A 15930-nucleotide genomic window follows, 5' to 3' on the forward strand; every position below is an offset into this window, starting at 1 on the left:
TCTCTATGGCATATACTAATGTATAAATATAGGAGCTTATTTATTATGTTTTCATCATCATCATTATTCACAATCAATAAGAACAAAATTAATTTTGTGAATCTAATAGATCGGGGCAGTGCTAAATGTTTTGCTGGAATTATGTCATTGAGTACTCATTTACGAATAGTAGCCTGATGAGTAGTTACTCTCATTAGTCACAAGATACACACAAGGATTCTGAAGATTATGGAGGCTGAGTCACACAACTAGCAAATGACAGACTTGTAATTATGGCAGTTTTAGTACCTAGCAAGGTTTTAGTAGACAATTATATATACTAATCAAAATGAAAATGAATGAATTGAAACATGTGAAATAAAATATAAAAGAATAGAGGATAGGAGATAATATGTTCTGAATTGCAATATTTGATTTTCTAGATAATGAAGATTTTGTTTTCTCTATTTGTGATAAAATTATAGCTTGAGCTTAGAAATTGTGTGTGATATGCAATTACATTAAATCCTAAAATACTAAACTCTAAGTACTGTTCCAATATGTTTCATTGCATTTTGTTTTCATTTATTTATTCAACAATAATTTTTTAGTGGCACTATGTAATAGGCATTGTTTTGGGCACTGGGGTTACAGCAATGACCAAACAAAAACACAAAACAAATTGAGTTTGTCTCCAAGTGTCAAAATAATCACCTCCGCTATCACCAACAAACTTCATTTCTCTTACAGCATCCATTCTAGGTAGGGATGAAAAAAATAAATAAATGGAACATATCACATGTTACATATTGATAAGTACTAAGTACCTGTTGATAAGTACATGGCTGCAAGGAAAATAAAGCATAGGAGGGCAGTAAGGAGACTGAAATGGAGATTAAGGAAAGTGAGTATGTGTGTTGGTGTAATGCAGAGGGAAGGGCAAGTACAAAGACCCTGAGGTAGCTTGTTTGTTGTTTTTATTTCTAGGAATAGCAAGGGTGCCAGTGAGACTGGAGTAGAGTAGACTAGGAGAAAAATACAGAGTGTTGTGAGAAAAGATTGGAGAATTGCCAGGTGAACTAGAATTTTTTGATTACTTTTTATATGGAAAATATAAAGCTGACTATAATATGCTTATTTTTAAATTATTCTTAGTTTAGTAGTTATTGAAAACATTATAATGTTTAAATGATTACAATTATGTTAGGTTAATTTTAGTAATTTACTGCTATTCTCCTTGAAGCAAATTCAGAAAGAAGCATACTTCAGAGCCCAAATGGAGATTATCTCTCAATTTTGACATTTATTTGTATTTTGGCTTTGGGAAAATTACTGAAACTCGTTGAGCTTTGATTATAAAGTAGAGGAGTCATTCCTGTGAGGATGTGATGATAGGCTAGAGAATTAATTCCTTGAACTTAAGTCAAGTTCATGGCATTTAATAGACTGAATAAATGTCAATTGTCTTCCTTTTTCTGTTTCTTTTTCTTACATCAGTGGGTCTCTCAAAATATAAAAAATTGTGTAACAATATTTTTAAAGGACCAGGATCAACAGCATTTTAATTTAAACTCTTTAATATTTACATACAAAGCAAAGTAAAACTAAATTTAAAATAATAATTGACTACTTAGTTAACGGTAATTCTAACATATAATTAAATAAAACAATAAAAATCAGTCATAAGAACTATTGAAGACCACTTCCAGTCACAGATCACCCAAAATCTACCAATAGTCAAGCAAAACCACATTTATGTAAGTTGCTCTGGCAAAGGAGAAAACATAGCAGATGAATCTCTGGATGTAGGTAAGAAAGAGTGAGAAGAGACTTGTTACAGGATTTGGGCTTGTGCCGGCTATTCTAAAGAGGCTTCTGGATTGTGTGTTCTCAGGATTAGGAGCATGTCAGTGATGGGTGTATGAGTAACTTTAGCTAAAAAATGAAAATATTGTAGGTTTGCTATTATAAAGACACAGTAGTTAATTTTGCTAATTTTGTGGACATTGAGGGTCCTGATCTCTGTCTTGTTTCACACCTGGTCATAAGATGAACTTGTCTTTGTGTTATTCCACGCCACAGTCACAGACTACCTTTATTTGATTACTCTACACATTCTGGAAAATTGTTTGTTGAGAATATTTTAGCCTATATGTCAGCTGCCAAGGTCATTTTCACTACTTTGGAAATCAAAAATGGAAGTATTATACAATTCTTGAGCATTTTAGCCATTAACCATATTTCAATATGCATGAATAAGTAAAACTTCATGGAGGAAGGCAATTGAATTATCTAATTTTTAAAGAAAGTTTTACATTAAAAATGTTACACTTTTCATGGCTAGCCAATTAAAAATAGCATCTCATTCTATCATGGTTTAATATGTAAATGGCTAGAAGGCAGAAACCAGATCTATTTAAATTATTTTCCTAGCATCTAGCATACCATCATTCAAGTATGTGAAGTTAATTAAAACTAACTGATGATAATGCTAAATGTTTCTTTAAGCGTGCAGAACATTCTCCGGAGATTAAATGAGTAGAGGATGGAAAGGAGACATTGAGCAACAGTCAGCATCAATATTAGAGCAAATTGGTGTGATTTTCATAAACATCTTAGAATAATGATAATAGCATCTCAATAGTTGTTCCCAGAGACAGTAGATCATGGCTGCACTTAGATCCACATGTGCAATCTAGATTATATAGAACTTTCCATGAATGAGAAGGAGGAAAGAAGAGCTCAGCCTTGGAAACGAAGAAGATGGGTTAATCTGGGATTTATGGAGCATAATTTTAGTATTTCTCCATTGTTTGACAATATTCTTGTGATGAATAACCTAAAAGACTGGCCCAAATGGAAGAACATTTAGCATTTCAGATCCACAGAGATGATATTGTTTTCAGTGGTAAGTCAAAAGAGTAAATATATATTCCTACAATAATGGAAACAGCTATGACTACATCTAAAATAAAAATCCTCTGATATTGTAGAAACCTAAGTTTGGTGAGCAATAAGAAATTAAAGATAAACATACAATGCCAAGAGGCATAATGAAAAAAGTATAGTAGGAGGACTTATATTTCTAGGGCTTAACTGTGTTAAGTCTGTAACCTTGTGATATACAATTTATATGAATCTAGCCTGTAAAATATATCAGAGCAATGTTTTTAAAAATAAAATATTAATCATACATTTAAATACTGCCACTATGATGAAAGAGAGTTCTCTTTTTTTATTATTATACTTTAAGTTTTAGGGTACATGTGCACAACGTGCAGGTTAGTTACATATGTATACATGTGCCATGTTGGTGTGCTGCACCCATTAACTGGTCATTTAGCGTTAGGTATATCTCCTAATACTATCCCTTCCCCCTCCCCCCACCCCACAACATGCCCCAGTGTGTGATGTTCCCCTTCCTGTGTCCATGTGTTCTCATTGTTAAATTGCCACCTATGAGTGAGAACATGCAGTGTTTGGTTTTTTGTCCTTGAGATAGTTTGCTGAGAATGATGGTTTCCAGCTTCATCCATGTCCCTACAAAGGACATGAACTCATCATTTTTTATGGCTGCATAGTATTCCATGGTGTATATGTGCCACATTTTCTTAATCCAGTCTATCATTGTTGGACATTTGGGTTGGTTCCAAGTCTTTGCTATTGTAAATAGTGCCTCAATAAACATACGTGTGCATGTGTCTTTATAGCAGCATGATTTATAATCCTTTGGGTATATACCCAGTAATGGGATGGCTGGGTCAAATGGTATTTCTAGTTCTAGATCCCTGAGGAATCACCACACTGACTTCCACAATGGTTGAACTAGTTTACAGTCCCACCAACAGTGTAAAAGTGTTTCTATTTCTCCATATCCTCTCCAGCACCTGTTGTTTCCTGACTTTTTAATGATCGCCATTCTAACTGGTGTGAGGTGGTATCTCACTGTGGTTTTGATTTGCATTTCTCTGATGGCCAGTGATGATGAGCATTTTTTCATGTGTTTTTTGGCTGCATAAATGTCTTCTTTTGAGAAGTGTCTGTTCATATCCTTCGCCCACTTTTTGATGGGGTTTTTTTTTATTGTAAATTTGTTTGAGTTAATTATAGATTATGGATATTAGCCATTTGTCAGATGAGTAGGCTGCAAAAATTTTCTTCCATTCTGTAGGTTGCCTGTTCACTCTGATGGTAGTTTCTTTTGCTGTGCAGAAGCTCTTTAGTTTAATTAGATCCCATTTGTCAATTTTGTCTTTTGTTGCCATTGCTTTTGGTGTTTTAGTCATGAAGTCCTTGCCCATGCCTGTGTCCTGAATGGTATTGCCTAGGTTTTCTTCTAGGGTTTTTATGATTTTAGGTCTAACATTTAAGTCTTTAATCCATCTTGAATTAATTTTTGTATAAGGTGTAAGGAATGGATCCAGTTTCAGCTTTCTACATATGGCTAGCCAGTTTTCCCGGCACCATTTATTAAATAGGGAATCCCTTCCCCATTTCTTCTTTTTGTCAGGTTTGTCAAAGATCAGATAGTTGTAGATATGCAGCATTATTTCTGAGGGCTCTGTTCTGTTCCATTGGCCTATATCTCTGTTTTGGTACCAGTACCATGCTGTTTTGGTTACTGTAGCCTTGTAGTATAGTTTGAAGTCAGGTAGCGTGATGCCTCCAGCTTTGTTCTTTTGGCTTAGGATTGATTTGGCAATGCAGGTTATTTTTTGGTTCCATATGAACTTTAAAGTAGCTTTTTCCAATTCTGTGAAGAAAGTCATTGGTAGCTTGATGGGGATGGCATTGAATCTATAAATTACCTTGGGCAGTATGGCCATTTTCACGATATTGATTCTTCCTGTTTATGAGCACGGAGTGTTCTTCCATTTGTTTGTGTCCTCTTTTATTTAGTTGAGCACTGGTTTGTAGTTCTCCTTGAAGAGGTCCTTCACATCCCTTGTAAGTTGGATTCCTAGGTATTTTATTCTCTTTGAAGCAATTGTGAATTGGAGTTCACTCATGGTTTGGCTCTCTGTCTGTTATTGGTGTATAAGAATGCTTGTGATTTTTGCACATTGATTTTGTGTCCTGAGACTTTGCTGAAGTTTCTTATCAGCTTGGGCTTAGACGATGGGGTTTTCTAGATATACAATCATGTCATCTGCAAACAGGGACAATTTGACTTCCTCTTTTCCTAATTGAATGCCCTTTATTCACTTCTCCTTCCTGATTGGCCTGGCCAGAACTTCCAACACTATGTTGAATAGGGGTGGTGAGAGAAGGCATCCCTGTCTTGTGCCAGTTTTCAAAGGGAATGCTTCCAGTTTTTGTCCATTCAGTATGATATTGGCTGTGGGTTTGTCATAGATAGCTCTTATTATTTTGAGATATGTCCTATCAACACCTAATTTATTGTGAGTTTTTAACATGAAAGGTTGTTGAATTTTGTCAAAGGCCTTTTCAGCATCTATTGAGATAATCATGTGGTTTTTGTCTTTGGTTCTGTTTATATGCTGGATTACATTTATTGATTTTCGTATGTTGGACCAGCCTTGCATCTCAGGGATGAAGCCCACTTGATCATGGTGGATAAGCTTTTTGATGTGTTGCTGGATTCGGTTTGCCAGCATTTTATTGAGGATTTTTGCATCAGTGTTCATCAAGGATATTGGTCTAAAATTCTCTTTTTTTGTTGTGTCTCTGCCAGGCAGAAAGAGAGTTCTTTTAAAACTGAAATTTAAGAAAATCAAAAGCAGAACTTTCACAATGAATCACAAATACCTGCAGATTTTACATAACAGGGAAGAGGAAACTTCACAACTGAGCAGTGGGAAAAACCACTTTTAAAAATTAATCAATGAAAACTCAAATTTGTCCTCCCATTTTTGCACAGATTTCTTTGTAAAATAACTTTTTATTTGTGAGTTAATTTTTAGAAGAACATATTGTATGAGTCAGATATTATTTAAATCTCAGTATAAATAATGTATCTGCACTCACAGTGCACAAAACACAGAAAAGAAGAAAATGACTGAATATTCATTTTCTGTATGTATCATTGACAAAAATTACATTAAAAATAAACTTAATGAAAATGAAAAGTGCAAGAGACAGAAAACTAAAATATGTCAGACTATTGTGTGTTTTTCCTGAAAAAGCATTTTAATACTGTAACTAAGAACTGAAAATATGAAAAATGAGAGTTCAAATTTTAAAAAATGTGTGTAAAGTATATTTTCTATATAATTCATCTCATCATGAAATCTTATGCTTATCATTAATGTTTGTTTAGTACTTCTTTTAACAGTACTAGGCTTTGCCTATAAAAATGAGTAGCTATTTACACATGAAAGTTATTACTGTTTAAAGCAATAAATAGTTAAAATAGCTTGTAGAGGAGACCCTGCATGTACACCCAAAAAATTCTGAGTATCAAGGAAAGGAAGGAATGAATGGCTGAAGGAAAGGAGGAAGGATGAGAGGAAAATAAGCTGAAGTGTTAAAATTGTGTTTACATGAAATTAATTAGGTTAATAACGAATGAAAATAAGAAATATATCATATATATTTAAAATAACAGAAAAACGTTTGGGTCCAATTGTTACTAAAATTATATCTTTTTAAGGGGTTAAATGGTCAATTGACAGTCCTGACCTTCTTGATGATTATATCTCTATTCTAGTTACCATGCGAATTACTAATAAAGTCAATCCATTTTTCTCTTAACAACTTACATTTTTAAAATGTATCAAACTATTTCTGAAGAGATTCCTTCCTTGCCTTACTCCGTTTTAAAGATAATTACTTTGTGCCCAGAGAAACTAAATTCTTCCCTGTACTTTTTTGTTACTTTTCTGGACCAACTAATATGCTTGATCAGTTCTCTGTTTAGTTGCAAAACAATGAAATTGATTTAAAATAAAATTCTGATTATAGAAGACAATATTCAATATAGATGGGTTTAAAGTTTGGTAATTCAGTTGTTCGTATCTTCTTTTTATTCTCAGATGTGGGCAGAGATTCTTTATTTCATGTATTCTTGGCTGTTGTCCTTTTTCACTTGTAAAAAGTAATAAAGTTCTTATCTATGCAGTCTACACTACACAAACCCGTACGTTTCTCTAGCCCAGGTCAGTTTATTTTAAATTGCCCTATGTTAGTTATATTCTCTTTGCTTTCACTACCTTTCTACATATTATATATTAAGTGTTTCAGGATATATCAGCTTATCAGATAGGAAGACGAATATTCCAAGGAGCATTCAAAATAAAATATCTCACTCATCTGGCATCTCATTTATGAAATGCTAATTATCTAATTATCTTGTCTACCACAAATTATATATAGCATAAGGGCACAGAATATAAAAGGAAATAGGAAAGGTGAAATGAAAATTATATTTGGGTTACATTTTTTTAGAACTAAACTGTTCTTTTGACAAACAAAATGCCATATTTATGCCTGGGAATGCCTTAGAAGAATTTTAATTTAGCCTAAGATATTTCAAAAAGCTACTGAAATGGTATATATGCTAGAATCATAAGGTGATCTATGCTGTTTAGTAAGAGATGCATTTCATTATGTCAATAAAGATAGCCTAGAGTGTGACCACTATTTGAGATTCTAAAAAATTTTTAATTTTTTTCAGAGAAGTTACATTTATGTATATTACCAGCAGTATATATTAATGGCACATTTTGCTCATGAGACAAATATTGTTTTCTTTTATAAAATATAAGAATATTTATGTTAAATATTAAAAGTAATTGAATCATCAGGTATTTTAAGCCATCTACAGGCAAGGATTCAAAATGTTGTTATTGTGCCATCTTTATATTATTAATAGTACGTAACAATTTGTGTGTGTGTTATTAAAACTCATTGAAGAGGATATATATATTTGTGAATGGGAATTCCAAATTAAAAGATAATAAATGTATATATAAAATTAATATAACATACTCTCAAATTTCCTAATTAAGCTTATCATCAAGTACGCATTTATAAAACTTTTTGGAAGTTTTAAAATTATTTTGAAAACACACCTTAATTTCATAAAGAGGCAGTAAAACATAACATCAAAATTATGGAATGTATGTATAGTACAGATGTTAGTGAATGTTTTCAATTATTTTTAAGTCAGTCTAATAGAGAATAAAAACTGGATAAAAATGAGACATAAATGACCGTGACAAGTAAAAATATCATATACATCTTGTTAATACCTAATATTTTTAACTTTCAATTTAATAACTTATTCTACTTTATGTCTATTTTTAAAAGATAGCTACAGGTATTTTTGTATTAAAAATGAGTAGATATTTAATGCCCAATATTTTGAAATTTTTGTATTTCTACTTTCTGAATAAACTATAAACACACACACATACACACACACACAGACATACACACAATTTCCATGAGAAAAACGTATAGTTAGAAAATGACTGTAATAAATCAATGTATTAGACTTTACTGGATTGGCTCTTGATATATTAGGAAAGATTGTTATTGCTATTTACCATCAGGTCCAATAGTCTGGTGTTTTTTTAAATAATATACTTTATTTTTAAGAGCAGTTTTGGGTTTACTGATTAGCTGAGCAGAAAGTACAGAGGGTTCCCATATACACCCTCTCCTCACTCCCCTTATAGTTTCCCCTATTATTAATATCTTGCGTTATTGTGTTATCTTTGTCACAACTGAAGAACTAATATTGATAGATTATTGTTAAGTAAAGTACATCCTTTACATTAGGGTTCACTCTGCATTGTGTAGTTCTATGGGTTTTGACATGTGTATAATGTCATGTATCTACTGTTATCTCTCTCTCTCTCTCTCTCGTTACATCATCCAATTTAATTCTACAGCCCAAAAAATCTCCTGTGCTCCACCTCTTTATCTCACTTTACTTCTCCCACAAGACCTGGTAACCAGTGATCCTATTATTGACTATAGTTTTGTGTTTTCTAGAATGTCATATAATGGGAATTTTGCAGGATGTAATCTCTTCGGACTGGCATCTTTCACTTAGCAATATGAATCTCCTTTTTCACCAGTACCTTACTGTTTTGAGTACTGTAGTTTGATACTGTGTCTTGAAGTTGGGTAGTGTCAGTCCTCAGATGATTCTGCTGCTGCTGCAGATTCATCATCATCTTCTTCTTCCTCTTCCTTCTCCTCCTTCTTCTTCTCCTCCTTCTTTTGCTTCTTTTCTTTCTTATTCTTTCTCCTTTCTTCCTCTTTCCCCTTCTTTCTCTTTCCTTCTCCTTCTTCCCCTTCTTTCCTTTCTTCTCCTTCTATATTGTAATTATGTTATGTTGGTCAATTTGTAATTATAAATTGTTGTAATTTTTATCACATTTATAATTAAAATGTGATTAATCAGTATATTAAACTTTATTAATCCTCAATGTATCAGGAAACAAAATAGTCATATCTACTATCTGGGCCACACTTTTTTTGTTTTATACTCTAAGTCTTTTTTTTAATGACGTATTAATGTAATAATAAAAGGAGAGTGAACAACAAATTTTATTAGAACTTTCAATACAAAATTTAAACAGAAAAACCGGACTTTTTATTATCTATTTCTCTGGCTTTAATGGTATATATACACAAATTGCGCAATAATTGGCATGCATGATCCTGAAATATACCCATCTTGTAAATAATGAGTCAAGCTTCAAAATGCATCTCTACTGTGTCCTATCTTGTCATTGCTTTTTGGTTCTTCTTTCACTAGCATTGTTAGAATGCAATACTTTAGAAACACTTTGATGGCTCATAGTTTTACCCAGAAGAATACAATATCTTTATTCCATAATTGCAAAACATTTTCATTTTTAGATTTATAAAGAGCAATTAAAATAAAACTAAAATATATATTTTTTGTTGTTTTTTTTTTTGAGATGGAGTCTCGCTCTGTCACCCAGGCTGGAGTGCAGTGGCACTATCTTGGCTCACTGCAACCTCCGCCTCCCGGGTTCAAGCGATTCTCCTGCCTCAGCCTCCTGAGTAGCTGGGACTATAGGCGCCCGCCACCACACCCAGCTAATTTTTTGTATTTTTTTAGTAGAGACAGGGTTTCACCATGTTAGCGAGGATGGTCTTGATCTCCTGACCTCATGACCCACCTGCCTCGGCCTCCCAAAGTGCTGGGATTACAAGCGTGAGCCACCGCGCCCGGCCGAAACTAAAATATATTCTTAAAATTTCCTCATCACCAAATGCTTTCAACATGTTTCCATTTATGGACTGTGTAAAGTAAATTCTTATGTTCAAAAATCATAAAAGGTAAAAGAACATTGTCATATTTTCCTTTCAGCAAAATCATATGGTTGCAAAATATTGTGTGGTGAAGTCCTTCTTTGTATTAGAAACTGTTCCAACTCATCTATTTTTGAGCTTGATAGAATTTATCTAGAGTATCAAAAGTGAAAACTTGTTTTACTGTCATTTTAAGAGGCTTGAGCTTCACTGTTTTCTCTTTGCATTTCTCCTCCAATTTTTCTAATAATTTTGGGGTGTCTTTATTAATTTCCTTCTTTTGCCATTATAGGCAGAAAATTAAAAATTCTGAGTTCTCAATTGATATCATGAAAGCAAAAAAAAAAAACAACAAAACAAACAAACACAGTAGCAAACAGAACTACAATATGGTGTTTTTGTTTCTATACTTCTTTTAATTTTTTACAAAAGAAAATCCAAAACCTGGGCAATCCTATAAGCACATAAGGATTAGGTAACAGTGATGATTTATATCACTTGCATAAACCTTCTACCCCAGCATTGTCCAATATAACTTTCTGTGATAATAGAGATGTTCTCTATCTCCAGATGGTAGCCAATAATCAGCTCCCTGTGGTTATCGGCAATTGAAGTGTGGGTATTGTGACTAAGGAAATGCTATTTAAATTTTACTTAATCATAATTGAATTACATTTAAATTTAAATAGCCACATGTGATTAGTTGTTACTGTGTGGACATTCCCACTCTTAAATCATTTGTATATATATCCATTTTATTCTTATGTTATTCTTTTTATCATAGTTGGGGATAATTGATGAGTTAGTGGTGAAGTAATAACTAGGTCCCTGAAGTAGCAAGATTTCTCATAATAAAAGAAACATAGTGTCACCAAAATTTCATAATGTATCTTAGATTTATAAGATGATTTAATGTTTCCATATCATAATTGCAAGGTAAGCCAATTTTTAAACCTATTTTTAAAATTAAATTGTTTCTTTTTTTTTGGAGCACCTCTAATAAAGAAAGAACACAAATTATGAAATATCATTACTTAAACATAGTTAGAACTGTTTCAAATGCACTTAAAATAATGTACCATAGAGTCAACAGTTATAAAAATGTATGGACTGGCACAGTGGTTCACGCTTGTAATCATAGCACTTTGGGAGGCCAAGGCAGATGGATCACTTGAGCTCAGGAGTTTGAAACCAGCCTGGCCAACATGGAGGAAACCACGTCTCTACAAAAAATACAAAATAATTAGCCATGAGTGGTGGCGTGTTCCTGTAGCCCAGCTACATCGGGGGCCAAAGTGGAAGGATCCCTTAAGCCCAGGAGTTTGAGGCTGCAGTGAGCCGAGATGGCACCACTGCACTCCAGCCTGGGTGACAAAATGAAACAACATCTAAAAATAAATAAATAAATAAATAAATAAATAAATAAGAATTAAAATGAACGAAAGTGCTGATGCATTTATTATCTGTATTTTTACTGCTACCTTTTGCTTCCCTTTAAGGTCTTCCTTGTGGCCCAACTTTATGATAGAGACACATTGCTTCTATGCCTCTCCTAGATACACTCAGTTTTACACACTGCCAAACATGTCTTCTTAAATATTGGTTCTTTACCTGATACAAACCCGCGAAGATTTCTTATTGCTTCTAACATAAAGTCCAAACTCTACAGCTTGACATTCAAGGCTTTTAAAATACAACCAACCCCCTATAATGCTGCTCTCAAGTACTCTTTTTCAGACAATGCATTCTATGCTTTACATTATTTCTAGATGCCTCATATATAGCCAACATTCTTTAATACAACACTTTGTTAATTTTTCCTTTGCCTTAAATCCCTTCTTTTCTTTCCCTCTAGAAAATTTCTACCAGATCAAATGCTGTGTTTTCTCTGAATTATTTTAAATGTCACTTTTCTAAGTAATCTTCTTTGCTTCTGACAAATATGTATAATCTATCCTGGCAACTCCCATACTACATCATCCAAGTACTATGGTGTCTACAATATTGAGTTTGAATTATTTTGAACTATATATAATTTATCTAATTTATTAATACTATATTCCGATGGGTTGCTATTTTTGCAGATGTATAACAGTTTTATAATAGTGGTACTGTGTCTTGTATGCACAGTGATTTATAAATATTTTTCAAATAAATAATGATTGCCACAGAAGCATTCACTAAAATCGAAAGAAATTTAACACACCGTTGAAGAAAAGTACCGGATAATTTTCAGTATTAAGAAATGTAAGTTAAATGGAAAGTGAGAATTTTACTACAGAATTACAAACGGGAAAAATAAACTAAACATCTTAGAAAAACACAATTGTACCCAGGAAAAAACGAGAATCAGATAGTGCTGGAACTGAAAGAGTCCTGTTAACCCTTGGTATTTTAACCCCACTGTTCCTATTGAGTGGTAGAACTTGAGGTGTGGATTGAGTTTGATTTACAGCTTTTCATTTCAGGAGTGTATCATAATGGCCTAACTCAGAGTATTAAGCGTTCACTTCCTTTCAGGAGTAAGCAATGATGTGAGAGAACATAAGCAATTCGTATCAATGCATACAGCGCCACAGTTCTCTAGTAGCTCCCTATCTTTTGTAACAAAGAAGACAGAGATAGATAGATAGATAGACAAATATAAAGAAAATAGGCCGGGCACAGTGGCTCACGCCTGTAATCCCAGCACTTTGGGAGGCCAAGGAGGGCAGATCATGAGGTCAGGAGATCGAGACCATCCTGGCTAACACGGTGAAACCCCGTCTCTATTAAAAATATAAAAAAATGACCGGGCGTGGTGGAAGACGCCTGTAGTCCCAGCTACTCGGGAGGCTGAGGCAGGAGAATGGCATGAACCCGGGAGGAGGAGCTTGCAGTGAGCCGAGATCATACCACTGCACTCCAGCCGGACGACAGAGTGAGGCTCTGTCTCAAAAATAAATAAATAAATAAATAAATAAATAAATAAATAAATAGAAAATAGATAATAAAGTAAATGTAAATATTTTAAAGAAAAGTATTATTGACATTTTGGGCAAGAGAATTCTGTTTGTTTTTTTGGGGGCTGGTGTGGGGCTGTCCTATGTGCTGTGGGATGTTTAGCAGCACTCCTGGCCTCTGCTCATTAGATGTTAATTGCTATTCTCCGTTCCTCTAACAAGCAAAAATATCTTCAGACATTTTCAAATATACTTAGGGGATGAAATTGTACTCAGATGAGAACCACTATTTTGAAGTAAAACAAAAGTGGCTTCACAATAGTGAGTTAGTGCATTGTCTTCTTTAGTATTAATGTTAAGTTCTGAGAGATCTTTATATGAGTGTTACCTAAATTTAGTTTGGAAACTCTTATGCAATAATATTGCGATAAGGCAAAGATTCACAAGTCTTTCATCTGCAAGACACTTTAAAATTTCTAAATTTCCGTTAGTACAAATTTGCTATCGGGAGGTTTTTTTTTTATATTATTTGTGGATGAGAAGAGTTTGTGAATAAGAAGAACCTGTTTTTATAAATGAGACAGTGGGTGTATTTTAAAAGAATATTTTTTGACTGTCAATGAGGAAAACGATGTGAGAGAGATATATGAGAGTGTACACAATATGCAGATCATATAGAGCCAAAGCCTTGGGCTGGCTGCTAATTTAACCAGATAGAGAAAGAGTTAATTCTGATGAATTTAACAGAACATAGTATGAAAAACATCAATTGCTAGTGTAGTCTAAAAGAGACTAGAAAACACAAACTCATTGAAATGTGATTAAGATTGGAGAAAAAGGGTCAAATAAATTTATCAGTGTTAACTTCACTCCTTTGAGCATGTTTCGTATTCTGTACAATGAGGAGAGCACAGAATTTTTGGTATGCTTTATAAGAGTTTGATGAGCCAATGCATACAGAGCAATTACATCAATGCGTATTATTTACCAAGTATTTGATTAATGTTTACTATTATTAGAAGATAGTTGTGACGAGTAAATTTGATTTTCTAACAAATTTAATCAGTAGTTGGAAAATATTTCAAAAGACCATTATTCATTTATTTACTCAACAATTACTTAATTGAGGTCCAGTAGTTATTCTAGGACATGAGGATAAGTCAGTGTACAAGATAAAAGATGATCTCTGCTTTGATAAGCATGCATCCTAGGAATATGCCAAACACTGAGTAGCACCGTTTAAGACTAATACCTGATCTTGAGGGACCGCAATATGAATGTCACAATGTAAAATGTTATAATGTTACAATGTTACCATTCTAGTGAAACAATGGATAGAAATGGGTACTAGCACTCTTCTTTGTGTGTCTTAGGAACTATGTAAGTGTTTGTCAAATGAATAAATGACAGTACTCATAGGAACTAATTTTGTGAACAAATAAAATTATCAATATTATAATTTTCTTTCAACCAAAGACTGTAATATAAGCAATGCAAATGACTGCTACTTTGTGTTACAAACCACTGTATTTCTTCACTCACTACATTATGCAATATAGGAGGGTACAGTAGTCTTTGGTTGTTTCTCTTACTTAGCATTTTGGCCATCATCCATAACAGGTTAAGTGTTGATTTTATATAACCTTAAATTTCTATTATACTTATTCAATTACAAAAGAAATACGTTGTTTTTTATTTTATTTTTTTCCTGATAAAACATTTAACTCAAAGCTTCTTTTTATTTATCTACAAAATCTGGTGATGGATAAATTTTGTTAAGCCAATGACGCTAAATACTTTCAAAGCTTGTGCTTTTAAGATTGTTCATAAGGTGGTTTAATAGAAGCTTCATCACAGGTCTTTTCTCTTTTAAAATCCTTGCTAAGGATATAGAAAATCCATTCTGCTGGATCAATATCTTTACTTTGATTCAAATCCTCAGTCATTCAAATGGAAAGTGAGCTATCCTTACTTCCCAAGTTCATAAAACCTTTAAATTTTTGTATAAAAGAAGAATTTTTTTTTTTTTTTTTTTGAAATGGAGTCTTGCTCTGTTGCCAGGCTGGAGTGCAATGGCACGATCTCGGCTCACTGTAACCTCCGCCTCCCGGGTTCAAGTGATTCTCCTGCCTCAGCCTCTCGAGTAGCTGGGATTACAGGCGCATGCCATCATGCCCAGCTAATTTTTGTATTTTTAGTAGAGACGGCGTTTCACCATGTTGGGCAGAATAGTCTTGATCTCCTGACCTCATGATCCGTCCACCTCGGCCTCCGAAAGTGCTGGGATTACAGGCGTGAGCCACCACGCCCAGTCAAAAGAAGAAAAACCTTTTGTCCATAAATCTAGCTTTTGAAAGTAATTGTGTTTCTTCCTAAATAAGCCCCAGAATATGTCAGACAAAGGTAAAGCAATAAAAAAAAAATCTAGGAAAACAATGGGGCTTTCCACATTTAAACATTTTATAGACATTCTAAAGAATATTTTTTGTTTCTACAAAAGTCTTAGAGCATTTTGCTTTTAAAATATCTGCGTATTTTAGTTGGATACTTACAAGTACTGAAAAATTATTTGTTAATGATTGAATATATGCCTATCTTTACACACTTGTACAAAACTTCAGTTTTTTTGCATTTTGAACAAAACATTCATTTATTTACACAACACTTAAAGAGCTCTTACAATTTACTAAGCATGAGATATAAGGACACACAATCGAGTAAGTTAATATATTAGATTTTGAGTGCTCAAAAT

The 15930-nt window shown here is 33.4% G+C and overlaps 1 protein-coding gene across 17 annotated transcripts in view; it reads left to right on the forward strand.

Annotated features, from left to right (window-relative positions):
- CADM2 (cell adhesion molecule 2) overlaps positions 1–15930 on the forward strand; it is a 1115441-nt gene that overhangs the window by 953976 nt on the left and 145535 nt on the right. The window lies entirely within an intron of this gene.

Source organism: Homo sapiens, chromosome 3 (genome assembly GCF_000001405.40).
Source record: "Homo sapiens chromosome 3, GRCh38.p14 Primary Assembly".
Taxonomy (NCBI): domain Eukaryota; kingdom Metazoa; phylum Chordata; class Mammalia; order Primates; family Hominidae; genus Homo; species Homo sapiens.